Here is a 13,019-nt window from a genome sequence, read left to right on the forward strand (position 1 = left end):
CTGAGGAAGCAAGATTTGAGGTTGCTGCAGACCCCTACAAATTGGCCTTGTCTAACATATTTTGGTGCCATGTGACTCGGATACCTTCCACCAGTAACAACTCTGTTGTCCAAACTAGGGTGCAGTGGCGCAACCATGGCTCACTGCAGCCTTGACCTCCCAGGTTCAAGGGAGCGATCCTCCTACCTTAGCCTCCTGGGCAGCTAGGACTATAGGCACATGGCCCAATGCCTGGCTAATTTTTTGTATTATTTTATATATATATATATATATATATATATATATATATATATATATACACACATATATATATATATATATATATATATATGTATATGTATATTTTGTAGAGATGGGGGTTTCACCATGTTGCCCAGGCTGGTCTTGAACTTCTGGCCTCAAGCGATCCTTCTGCCTCAGCCTTCCAAAGTGCTGGGATCACAGGCATGAGCCACTGTGCCCGGCCTATTTTCCATGAGCCACTGTGCCCGGCCTATTTTCCATTCTGGTACACAATTCCATTTCCAATAAAAACTTAACCCAGATAATGTCACTTTTCTGCTACAGTCCTATTATCAAAAGTTAGAATTCCCTAACATGGCTACTAGGCCCTCCCTGATCTGCTGCTGTGTCTCTTTGACCTCATTTGTACCTCCCTTCCCCATCTCTCACTAAGCTTAATTACATGGGATGTGTTCACCAACAGCCCAAGCTCTATTCTCTCTCAATTTCTTTTCTTTTCTTTTCTTTTCTTTTCTTTTTTGTGAGATGAAGTTTTGCTCTTGTTGCCCAGAATGGAGTGCAATGGTGTGATCTCGGCTCACTGCAACCTCCGCCTCCCAGGTTCAAGCGATTCTTCTGCCTCAGCCTCCCGAGTAGCTGGGACTACAGGCGCCTGCCACCACGCCTGGCTAATTTTTTTGTATTTTTAATAGAGATGGGGTTTTGCCATGTTGGCCAGGCTGGTCTTGAACGCCTGACCTCAGGTGATCCGCCCGCCTGGCCTCCCAAAGTGCTGGGATTACAGGCGTGAGCCACCACCCCCGGCCCTCAATTTCTTTCTTTTTTTTTTTTCCTCAATTTCTTACATACACTCTTCTGTCTGGCCTTTCCCTACCTCTTGTCATTCTTGTGCTCTGAGCTTAAATGTCTCTTGCTCAGAAAAGACCTTCCTTGTCCATCCCTCTCCTCTGGTTTTACGAAGGTAGTCACTGGATACCTTACGATGGTTGGTCCATGTATTAAATATATGAGTATGCTTGTTTAGGCTTCATCTCCCCCATTAGACTGTAAACATCTTGGGAGTAGGAGCCATTTTGGTCTTGCTCATTGGCACAATGCCTGGCATGTAGTAGGCACTCAATATGTGTTGGCTGTTTAATAAGTTTGAGAAGTTTGATTCTAAGTACAATCATCCACATCAGACTTCTCTACAAATTGTATATTCAGTGGGCATCAGCTCTGCCCAGTGAAAGAAAGCAAACCCGGAATGCAGTGCTTGTGACTTAGTACAGGCTCAGTAAGGGACAGCTGTATTAATTGGGATAATGGCAGGGGAGGGATATACACAAACTTCCTTATTTCTTACAGACTTTTCACTTAGTCCCCTTGTTTAGTTGCATGGCTTCCTATGACCTTATTTTATTTATTTTTATTTTATTTTATTGATTCATTTTTTTTTGAGACAGAGTCTCGCTTTGTCACCCAGGCTGGAGTGCACTGGTGCAATCTCGGCTCACTGCAACCTCTGCCTCCCAAATTCAGGTGATTCTCCTGCCTCAGCCTCCTGAGTAGCTGGGACTACAGGCGCATGCCACCATGCCCGGCTAGTTTTTGTATTTTCAGTAGAGACGGGGTTTCACCATGTTGGCCAGGATGGTCTCGATCTCCTGACCTCGTGATCCACCCGCCTCAGCCTCCCAAGGTGCTGAGATTACAGGTGTGAACAACTGCGCCCTGCCCCCTGTGACTTTAGAAACAAAAATAGCATGACTTCAAGTCTTTCATATACACTTTTTTATGTACTCTTCTTAATCACACTCTGAGGCAGTTACTATATCTCCATTTTACAGAGGAGAAAAAGGAGGCTTAGAGAGATTAAGGAACTAGGCTGAGGTCTCCTGGCTAATTAGAGGCAGAGCTGGGTTTAAAACCCATTCTTTGAATTCCAGGGCTAGCTTTGTTTATTCCACACTACAAATTAATCTCATAATGAGGCGTAGAAGGGAAAGATCCCATGTTTTCCCAAACACAGCCACATTTCATCACTGACTCTTGTCAGTGAACCTTTTGTTCCTCAAATACTAGGAACAAAAATCATTCATTTGGAACTGTTCTTTCTTCCTCTGTACGTGCTTCGTGCATTTCTCTTTGTAAACAAGACTTTAAATAAATTACTTCTAGGCCAGGAGCAAGGGCTTATGCCTGTAATCCCAGCAATCTGGGAGTCCAAGGCAGGAGCATCACTTGAGGCCAGGAGTTTGACACCAGCCTGGGCAAAAAATCGAGACCCCCATCTCTACTAAAAAATAATAATAAGAAGAAAACCAAAGAAATTACTTCTAATTGTTTTATTCTATAGGCACATCTCACTTAAACTTATTTACATGCAGATCTTAGTGTTTTAAAGTCTATAAATTAAGTAAAAAACTCCTTAAGTCTCATTTTAGAGAGGTTTTAGTTGTAAAAAGGCTCGACATAGACTTCTTTAGATAATGAAAACCCCTGGCATGTTTCAGGCAATTATTCAATTCAATGTGCACAGCTTCCAGAACACAGAATGCAGAGATGCCCAGAATTAATGGTCTGGCAGCAAGTCTGTTTCTCATGTTTTCCAATCTGAATGTATAAATTTTTAATCTTACAAACCTGTAATGAATGTGTTGGATTACTGTCTTTGCTCTATTGTCAGCATATAAAGAGACTCAGCTTCTTGGCAGAATGATTAAGTTAAGGATATTGCATTCTAACCACAAGGAAACACAGATCTCCTCCTTGTCAGCATTCTTCCTTCCAAAAAGGTTGCTTAAAGTGGTGCTTAAAAGATAATTCTATCCTAAAACACAGTGACTTAGGAAAAAAAAAAAGAGAGAAATAAATAAAGATAATTCTAGCTTACTAAATTTAGGGTGTGGAAAAAGTCCAAAATGAGAATATTCACTGGGTAATTGTGCAAGGAATGTTAATATGTGTGATAAAGGGAGGGTATTCTACCCACCTGATGCTTGCCTCTGCACCCTCCCCCCCACTTCCGTTTTGCCTTGACATACAACATACAATTTATCAAGGTTAAAAGTTAAATGAGGGCCAGGCGTGGTGACTCATCCTGGTAATCCCAGCACTTTGGGAGGCCGAGGCAGGTGAACTGCTTGAGCCCAGCCTGGGCAACATGGCAAGACCCTGTCTCGATAAAAAATATAAAAAAATTAGCTGGCTGTGGTGGTACAAACCTGTAGTCCCAGCTACTTGGGAGGCTGAGGTGCGAGGATCACCTGAGCCCAGAAGGTCGAGGCTGCAGTGAGCCATGACTGTGCCACTGCACTCCAGAGCCTCGGTGACAGAGTGAGACCCTATGTTACTCTGTTCTCATGCTGCTATGAAGAATAACCCGAGACTGGGTTATTTATAAAGGAAAGAGGTTTAATTGACTCACAGTTCTGCATTGCTGGGGAGGCCTCAGGAAACTTACAATCATGGCAGGAGGCAAAGGAAAAGCAGGCACCTTCTTCACAGGACAGCAGGACGGACAGAGTGAGTGCAAGCACGGGAAATGCCAGACGCTTAAACAACCATCAGATCTCGTGAGACTCACTATCATGAGAACAGCATGGGGGAACCACCCCCATGATCCAATTACCTCCACTTGGTCCTGCCCTTGACACACGGGGATTATGGGGATTATAGGGGTTACAATTTAAGATGAGATTTTAGGTGGGGGAGCAGCCAAACCATATCAGATCATGTCTCAACGAAAAAAAAAAAAGAAAGAAAGAAAAGCTAAGTGAGGCAGTCAACTCTTTGTCACTGCCACCACATTTTAAATATGAAATAGGCTGTGTGCGGTGGCTCATGGCTATAATCCCAGCACTTTGGGAGGCCAAGATGGGTGGATCACCTGAAGTCAGGAGTTCGAGACCAGCCTGGCCAACATGATGAAACCCTGTCTCTACTAAAAATACAAAAATCAGCTGGGTGTGGTGGCAGGCGCCTGTAATGCCAGCTACTCGTGAGGCTGTGGTAGGAGAATTGCTTGAATCCAAGAAGCGGAGGTTGCAGTGAGCTGAGATCATGCCATTGTACTCCAGCCTGGGTGACAAGAGTGAAACTCTGTCCCTGCCATACCAAATAAATAAATAAATACATAAATATGAAGTGATTTCATATCTGAGTTATTCCTTTTTTTTTTTTTTTTGGGACAGGGTCTCACTCTTTTGCCCAGGCTGGAGTGCAGTGGTGTGATCATAGCTCACTTGTAGGCTCAACCTCCTGAGCTCAATCAGTTCTCCCATCTCAGCCTCCTGTGTAGCTGGGTCCATGGGCCCACCACACCCAGCTCACCTTTGTTTAAATTTTTTGCAGGCATGGGGGTCTCACTATGTTGCTCAGGCTGGTCTCAAACTCCTGGGCTCAAGTGATCCTCCCACCTTGGCCTCCCAAAATGCTGGGATTACAGTCGGGAGCCACCACACCCACCCATATAGCTGAGTTATTCCTGAAACCACCCTGAAGTCAGAGCTACTCTTCAAAAATCTGTCAGCAAGTTCTCTGCTCATCTTCATATTCAAGGCAGATTTCTAGTCATCCTCAGTTAACTCACAAAAAGAGAAGCTAGCAGCACAAGTTAATATAAGAAGCTTACTGGTATCTGCTTTGAAATGCATTTTTTTTTTTTTTTGTGACAGGGTCTCACACTGTCACCCAGTGTCTGTGCCTTTGACACTTCAGTAAGCTTCCTGCACTTGACATTAGGCACGAAGGGTGACAGATAGGGGCGGGGCCAGAAAAGGTGCCCAGGAGACCAGCAGCTTAGTGGTTAAATGGTGTGTACAGAAGGATGGCTGGGTAGTGTTGATCTGTGTGACTCTGAGGTACATGAATATTTATGGAAAGAAAGACAGCATTGCAGACAGGGTATGGATTTCCCATGATCTCAGAAGGATGGTAGCTCAGCATCAATTTAATGGGAGGAAAACTGTAATTTCTAGAATATCTGAGTTTGCAATGGAGATTCATGCTTACAACATAATACTGATGACCACCAACTTGCTTGTCTCTTGGTCTTTGTCCCTCCAGATTTAAAAATACTCTTTCAATTTCTTCCTCATGGCAGCATATATATATATATATATATGCTGGGGTCTCACTATAGTGCCCAGACTGGTCTCAAACTCCTGGGCTCAAGCGATCCTCCTGTCTCAGCCTCCCAAAGTGCTGGGATTGTAGGTGTAAACCACTGTACCTGGCCCCTCATGGCACTTTTTACAGCCTCCCTATTTTTCTGCAGATGTAAAATGAGAGTAAAGGAATCCAATAGAAATTTGGTCAGTATTGAAGGCAGAAAGGACTTCTCGGCATGTTATAATTGTGCTATTGCATTTTGGATTCATTTTGACTTTTTTCTGCCTTATGACCAACTTGACATCCACTATGCTTTCAAATCAATTTCTCCTACACTTAAGAAAATCTAGTTTTTTCTTCATTTAGGTTGGTATTTGATGGCCGCCTTCACATTGCATCAAAGTCGCCATGGATTCTATTCCTGTCTTTGAGGATATCAGCATCATCTTGAGAAATAATAGACATATATAAGTAAACATTCAGAAACTCAGAGCTGGTTGCTGTGGGGGCTTAAACCCACATTTGGGTTAAACCATTTGGGTGTACTCTTAGTAATCTGTGTATCCTTTGAACTATTCATGACTATCGTAGCCCATCAGGAGGGGTTTTGCAATGGCTTGGCATTCTCAGCCATGATAGAGACTAGACTGCGATGAAAGGTGAAAAAAAGAGGAAAGAAAGGAAGAGGGAGAAAAAATGAATGGGAGAGGAGACGAGATTGATAAGAAAGAAGTTCTGATCCCAGTGTGCAATGGCTGCAAACAGCAGCTTTCTTGGTGGTGTACATGGCCTGTTTCTTGTATGGGTTGCTCTAAGGGTCCTTGGAGACAGGCCTTTCAAATGTACGTTCATGTCTCTGACCTTGCACTACCCCCGATGTAGGCTCGAAACAGGCATTCAAGGTGCCTTTGGAAAGCCCCAGGGCACTGTGGCCAGGGTTCACATTGGCCAAGTTAAGTCCATCTGCACCAAGCTGCAGAACAAGGAGCATGTGATTGAGGCGCCATGCAGGGCCAAGTTCAAGTTCCCTGGCCACCAGAAGATCCACATCTCCAAGAAGTGGGGCTTTACCAAGTTCAATGTGGATGAATGAGAAGACATAGTGGCTGAGAAGCAGCTCATCCCAGATAGCTGCAGGGTCAAGTACATCCCCAGTCATGGCCCTCTGGACAAGTGGCAGGTCCGGCACTGGTGAGGGCTTCCACTGTGCTGCTCCCCACCCCCTACCTTTTTTTTTTTTTTTTTTTTTGAGACAGAGCCTTGCTGTGTTGTCCAGGCTGGAATGCAATGGCGCAGTCTCGGTTCACTGCAACCCCCGCCTCCCGGGTTCAAGCAATTCTCCTGCCTCAGCCTCCCAAGCAGCTGGGATTACAGGCGCCTGCCACCACACCCAGCTAATTTTTTGTATTTTTAGTAGAGATGGGGTTTCACTATGTTGGCCAGGCTGGTCTTCAACTCCTGACCTCGTGATCCGCCCGTGTCGGCCTCCCAAAGTGCTGGGATTACAGGTGTGAGCCACTGCACCCGGCCTCTGCCCCATCTTAATACCCACCAATAAATGCTACTTCCTGTCCAGGTAAAAAAAAAAGAAAAAAGAAAAAGAAAGAAAGAAGTGCTGATGTTTAGCACCAGAGAGGTGCCGAAGATGGGAAAGTGTGCTCAGTAGTCATCAAAAACATCTTCTAGTCCTCCTGGCGCTCTCCCTCCTCTACAGAGCACATGCCCTGGTTTCTTTTCTTTTTCTTTCTTTTCTTTTGAGATGGAGTCTCACCCTGTCTCCCAGGCTGGAGTGCAGTGGCGCGATCTTGGCTCACTGCAACCTCTGCCTCCCAGGTTCAAACGATTCTCTTGCCTCAGCCTCCCAAGTAGCTGGGATTACAGACACCCACCACCACGCCCAGCTAATTTTTGTATTTTTAGTACAGACGGGGTTTCACCATGTTGGCCAGGCTGGTCTTGAACTCCTGACCTTGTGATCCACCTGCCTCGGCCTCCCAAAGTGCTGGGATTACAGGTGTGAGCCACTGTGCCCAGCCTGCCCTGGTTTCTTACTGAGACTTTCACATGGGAACAGAATAGGAAGTCGTGCCCATGTACAAAAGTGACATTGGTCAGGTCCTCCTTGCTTCCCTGGCTGACTAGTTTATTAGAAAAGGAATTAAATGGGCATGATTTTAAAAATAAGATAGGTAGGAATCCAGTGCTGACTGGGGTGTCGTAAACAGCTTGATTTTTTTTCTGTGAATGGCACTGGCCACACATGCCTGCATTACTGGTCAGTCTGTCCTTGTCTCTAATTTGATCACATCTGTCCCTCTGAACCTGTGCATATGGCTTCAACAGAAGACTCCCTCTGAGTGAGTCAAGAGCATGCAGGATATTACTCTGACACCCACAAAGATAGAAGAGGGTGGTAGAATGGAAGGCAGAGGTTGCGTCCTACCTTAGTGGGGAAAATATGCAAAACTGGGGAAACATAAGAACCCCAGGTGAGAATGGGAAAAGCCCTGTTGAGGGATGGGTGGCAGAAGTAAGAACTGATGGGAGGGGCCGGGCACAGTGGCTCACGCCTGTAATCCCAGCACTTTGGGAGGCCGAAGCAGGTGGATCACTTGAGGTCAGGAGGTGGAGACCAGCCTGGCCAACATGGTGAAACCCCATCTCTACTGAAAATACAAAAATTAGCTGGGCATGGTAGTGAGTGCCTGTAATTTCAGCTACTTGGGAGGCTGAGGCAGGAGAACTGCTTGAACCTGAGAGGCAGAGGTTGCAGTGAGCCGAGATCATGCCACTGCACTCCAGCCTGGGTGACACAGCCAGGCCCTGTCTTTAAATAAAAACAAAAACAAAAAACTGATGGGAGGGAATAAGGAGGAATGGGAGGGCACAGTCCTTGAAGAGACCCATTGTTTCAGTCTATCAGTCAGGAGTTTTCATATTCTCATCCACGCTCCAATTACTCATTTCATAAATGCTTCTTCAACATAGATTCCTTATTAGCTCAGTGTGGCTATGGGTGCCTGTAATCCCAGCTACTTGGGAGGCTAGGGCAGGAGAATCGCTTGAACCCAGGAGGCGGGGGATGCAGTGAGCGGAGACGGCGCCATTGCACTCCAGCTGGGCAACAAGAACGAAACTCCATCTCAAAAAAAAAAAAAATAAAGAAACAAACAAACAAACAAACAAACACAGATTTCTTTAAAAGAAGTAATCCACTGTGGAGTTAAAAAAACAACAAACGGCCGGGTGCGGTGGCTCACACCTGTAATCCCAGCACTTTGGGAGGCCAAGACGGGTGGATCATGAGGTCAGGAGATCGAGACCATCCTGGCTAACACGGTGAAACCCTATCTGTGCTAAAAATACAAAAAACTAGCCGGGCGTGGTGGCGGGCAACTATAGTCTCAGCTACTTGGGAGGCTGAGGCAGGAGAATGGCGTGAACCCAGGAAGCGGAGCTTGCAGTGAGCCGAGATCGCGCCACTGCACTCCACCCTGGGCGACGAAGTGAGACACCATCTCAAAAAAAAAAAAATCTCATGGAAGTAGAGAGTAGAATGATAGATACCAGAGGCTGGGAAGGGTATGTGGGGGGAGTGTAAAGAGGGGTTGATTAATGGAGAGAAACATGTAGTTAGAAGGAATAAGTCCTAATATTCCACAGGAGAGTAGGATGATTCAAGTTAGCAACAATATATTGTATATTTCAAAACAGCTAGAAGAGAGGACTTGAAATGTTTCCATACATTGAAGTGGTAAATACTCGAGGTGATGGATACCCTAAATACCCTGGCTTGATCATTACACATTCCGTACATGCAACATATATCACATGTACCCCCAAAACACTTACAAATAGCACAAAAAGAAAACTCACACCCCATGGCCCTAGATAATGACAAGCACACAAATCACTTGACAATTTTCTGGGGTTTTTGTCTTCCCGGATTGCATCAGTCCAGGCATTAATAGCACCTGCCGCTTTCTTATCTTTGCAGAGAGCAATCTGCTTCTGAAGCTACATGTGGCAGCAAACTTAGATCCATACAACCTGGGTTTGTGCCTTGACTCTGATGCTTATTATCTGTGTAGTCACAAGTAAGCTGTTGCTTTTCTCAACATTCTTTCCTAATCCGAAACTCAGAGGGATATATATGGCAGTGGGGGCGGGGCAGGGGGAAGCAGGAAATGCATTTTGTGAAACAACTTGGTGGGTAAATGCTTATTATCTTTGACTGATTGGTGTTTGTTTGCCACAGATAAGATCATTGAAGTTGGAATTCTGGTACCTATGATTATCACCCAGCTTTCTTCAGTTTTTACCTTTTTATTTTTATTTATTTATTTATTTACTTTGAGACTGCATGCAGTGGTGCAATCTTGGCTCACTGGAACCTCGGCTTCCCGGGTTCAAGCGATTCTCCTGCGTCAGCCTCCCCAGTAGCTGGGATTACATGCACCCGCCACCATGTCTGGCTAATTTTTTATTTTTAGTAGAGATAGGGTTTCACCATGTTGGCAGGCTGGTCTCAAACTTCTGACCTCAAGTGATCTAACTGCCTCGGCCTCCCAAAGTGCTAGAATTACAGGCGTGAGCCACCGCGCTTGGCCCAGTTTTTCACCCATTGAAACACATTCAGGGTACAAATTATCCTTCAGTAATGAGAATAGAGCTAAGTACACTGTAGCTGCCCATGGCCATCACATGAACAGAGAGGAAAATTATGTGCTTAGCTCCCAAATGGTGCCCCAATTTTTTTTTCTTTTTGAGACAGAGCCTCACTCTGTCTCCCAGGCTAGAGTGCAGTGGTGCGAATTTGAATCACTGCAACCTCCGCCTCCCAGATTCAAGCGATTCTCCTGCCTCACCCTCCTGAGTAACTGGGATTACAGGCACCCGCCACCACGCCTAACTAATTTTTTGTATTTTAAGTAGAGACAGGGTTTTGCCGTGTTGGCTAGGCTGGTCTCGAACCCCTGACCTCATGATCCTCTCACCTCGGCCTCCTAAAGTGCTGGGACTACAGGCCTGAGCCACTGCTCCTGGCCCAGTGGTGCCCAAATTTTTAAAAAGCCCAACCTAAAGAAACTTCAGAATTCTCACTCTATCAAGTCCCAAGTGTCTGGCCCCACCCAAGACTTCTCTTCTCCAGCCTTCGCCCACCTCAACTTTATTCTCTACAGTTTGCATTCTCTGGTACCCAACAGGCTGTTATCCTGTGTGAGTTTGCCCACACTGCTCTCGAGACTCAGATGTCATATCCCGGCAGGTACCCTCGCAGTTTTCAGAGCAGTGGTGCTAAGGGTCTCTCTGCCATACCAGCCTGCTCACCTAAAATACACTGCTTACACTGTTTTATGAGGCAGGAGTTATCCTATCTCAGCACCTGGCCCAGGTAGTAGGTTCTTTAGAAACACTGAACTGAGTCACAAGACAACGCTAATGACTACAAGTTGATTCATGATTATTTAACTTGTTTTCAGCTGCTGCCAAGTCATATCTGATCAGCTAAACAATATCCAGTTTTCCCTTCTCGGTGCTCCATCATGGCATTCTACCTAACTGTATGGAAGCACTAGAAATAATACAAGGAAGTTTTTCCCCTGTCCTCTTGACTTCAGGACATTGATTTTCAAATTTGTGAACACAGACAATTTAGTGCTAATATTTTAATCAAAATTGGCTGGGCATGGTGGCTTATGACTGTAATCCCAGCACTTTGGGAGGCTGAGGTGGGCAGATCACCTGAGGTTCAGGAGTTAGAGACCTGCCTGGCCAAAATGGTGAAACCCCGTGTCTACTAAAAATGCAAAAATTAGCCGGGCATGGAGTCCTAGCTACTCAGGAGGCTGAGGCAGGAGGATCACTTGAACCTGGGAGGTGGGGGTTGCAGTGAGCCAAGATCGCAACACCACACTCCACCCTGCGTGACATAGTAAGACTGTCTCAAAAAAAAAAGAATAAAATTCAATCAGAATTATGCTAATCTGATGAATTCAACACCAATAAATTTTCCTTAAGAGGAAGGGGAGACGGTTGAGGCAGGAAAGTTGAAGCCAACCTACTGATCATACTTTCCCCATCTGATCCCAGCAATGCATCTACCATGAGGCTGCAGCAGGAGCTGGAGGGAAGGCTCTGTGTTTTGCTTAGGAAACACATTTTATTTCCCACATTAAAGCAAGCTGAGGGTTGCTGGGAGATGATGCGGTACCCCCAACAAAGAAAGGATCAGGCTCCATAGGGTTGGCAGCAGCAAGCTGGAGCTGGTGGCTTCAAGGAAGAGCAGGGGTTACCTCTCAGTGAGGGAAAAATAGGTGGTAAGAACAGGTGTACCCTTGGGCAAAGAACTCCATCAAGACAGGTATCAACAACTGCACCAGGACTGCCAGGTGCCCCAGCTGCACCTCGGGACTGCCCAGCATGAGCACACACTGTGCTGACAGCCTCCATGGTGCAACAACAGGGGTGAGAAGGCATCGCACCTACCTGTGGGGCCTGGAACCTCTGGGTGTATGGGCATCTCCTGCTTACCTATGACACCAGAACAGTATACTTATTCAGCAAACGCTCTTGTTCAACACATAGGGGCAGTATAGGCCCAGCTGCTCCATGCTTATTATGGTCACGAAAATCATTCCCAACATTTTTACTTTTTTTTTGAGAGAGAGTCTCACTGTGGCTGAGGCTGGAGTGCAGTGGTGCAATCTTGGCTCAGTGCAACCTCCGCCTCTCAGGTTCAAGTGATTCTTGTGCCTCAGCCTCCAAAGTAGCTGGGGTTACAGGGGTGCGCCACCATGCCCAGCTAATTTTCCTATTTTTAGTAGAGACATGGTTTTGCCATGTTGGCTAGGCTGGTCTCAAACTCCTGATCTCAAGTGATCTGCCTGCCTCGGCCTCCCCAAGTGCTGGTATTACAGGCCATTCCCAACACTCTTAATGCACTTTGCATGCCCCCTGCTGACTCAGTGCTTCCTTGGGACATGGACAGAACAAAGCTGGAGGGCATGGATGCAAGGTCTGAGTGCACATAGGACCATAAAGCATCACCATGCAACATTGCTAGAGGTGGCAGCAATTGTCAGCAATTGCAGCTACTAGCTAAGAAAAAATAAGAGGCCTGGGCTCAGTGGCTCACCCCTGTAATCCTAACACTTTGGGAGGCTGAGGTGGGCAGATCACTTGAGCCCAGGCATTTGAGGCCAGCCTGGGCAACATAGTGAGACCCCATCTTTACAAAAAATACAAAACCCAGCTGGGCATGGTGGTGTGTGCCTGTGGTCCTAGCTGCTTGGAGGTTGAGGTGGGAGGATTGCTTGAGCCCAGGAGTTTGAGGCCACAGTGAACCATGATTGTGCCACTGCACTCCAGTGACACTGGGTGACAGAGTGAAATCTTGCCTCAAAAATTAAAAAAAAAAAAAAAAAAAAAAGGGGGTGGGCACGGTGGCTCACGCCTGTAATCCCAGCACTTTGGGAGGCCAAGGCAGATGGATCACTTGATGCCAGAAGTTCAAGACCAGCCTGGCCAACATGGTAAAACCCTGTCTCTACTATACACAAATAATTAGCTGGGTGTGGTATCACATGCCTGTAGTCCCAGCTATTCATGAGGCTAAGGCAGGAGAATCACTTGAAGCCAGGAGGTGGAGGTTGCAGTGAGCCAGAATTGCACCACTGCTC

At 46.0% G+C, this 13,019-nt stretch overlaps 2 pseudogenes, besides 2 other annotated features; both read left to right on the forward strand.

Moving 5' to 3' along the window:
• Positions 3,681-3,881: a silencer, noted in NCBI's record as "peak6988 fragment used in MPRA reporter construct". NCBI's record gives its function as "represses an SCP1 promoter by STARR-seq MPRAs in K562 erythroleukemia cells {active_cell/tissue: K562}" and the evidence as "EXISTENCE:reporter gene assay evidence [ECO:0000049][PMID:32103011]".
• Positions 6,073-6,170, forward strand: LOC124900261 (uncharacterized; annotated as a pseudogene).
• Positions 6,218-6,912, forward strand: RPL10P18 (ribosomal protein L10 pseudogene 18; annotated as a pseudogene).
• Positions 11,874-11,943: a silencer, noted in NCBI's record as "silent region_19099". NCBI's record gives its function as "represses an Ori minimal core promoter by ATAC-STARR-seq in GM12878 lymphoblastoid cells {active_cell/tissue: GM12878}" and the evidence as "EXISTENCE:reporter gene assay evidence [ECO:0000049][PMID:35858748]".

The sequence above is a fragment of the Homo sapiens genome, chromosome 8, assembly GCF_000001405.40.
Source record: "Homo sapiens chromosome 8, GRCh38.p14 Primary Assembly".
NCBI classification, from domain to species: domain Eukaryota; kingdom Metazoa; phylum Chordata; class Mammalia; order Primates; family Hominidae; genus Homo; species Homo sapiens.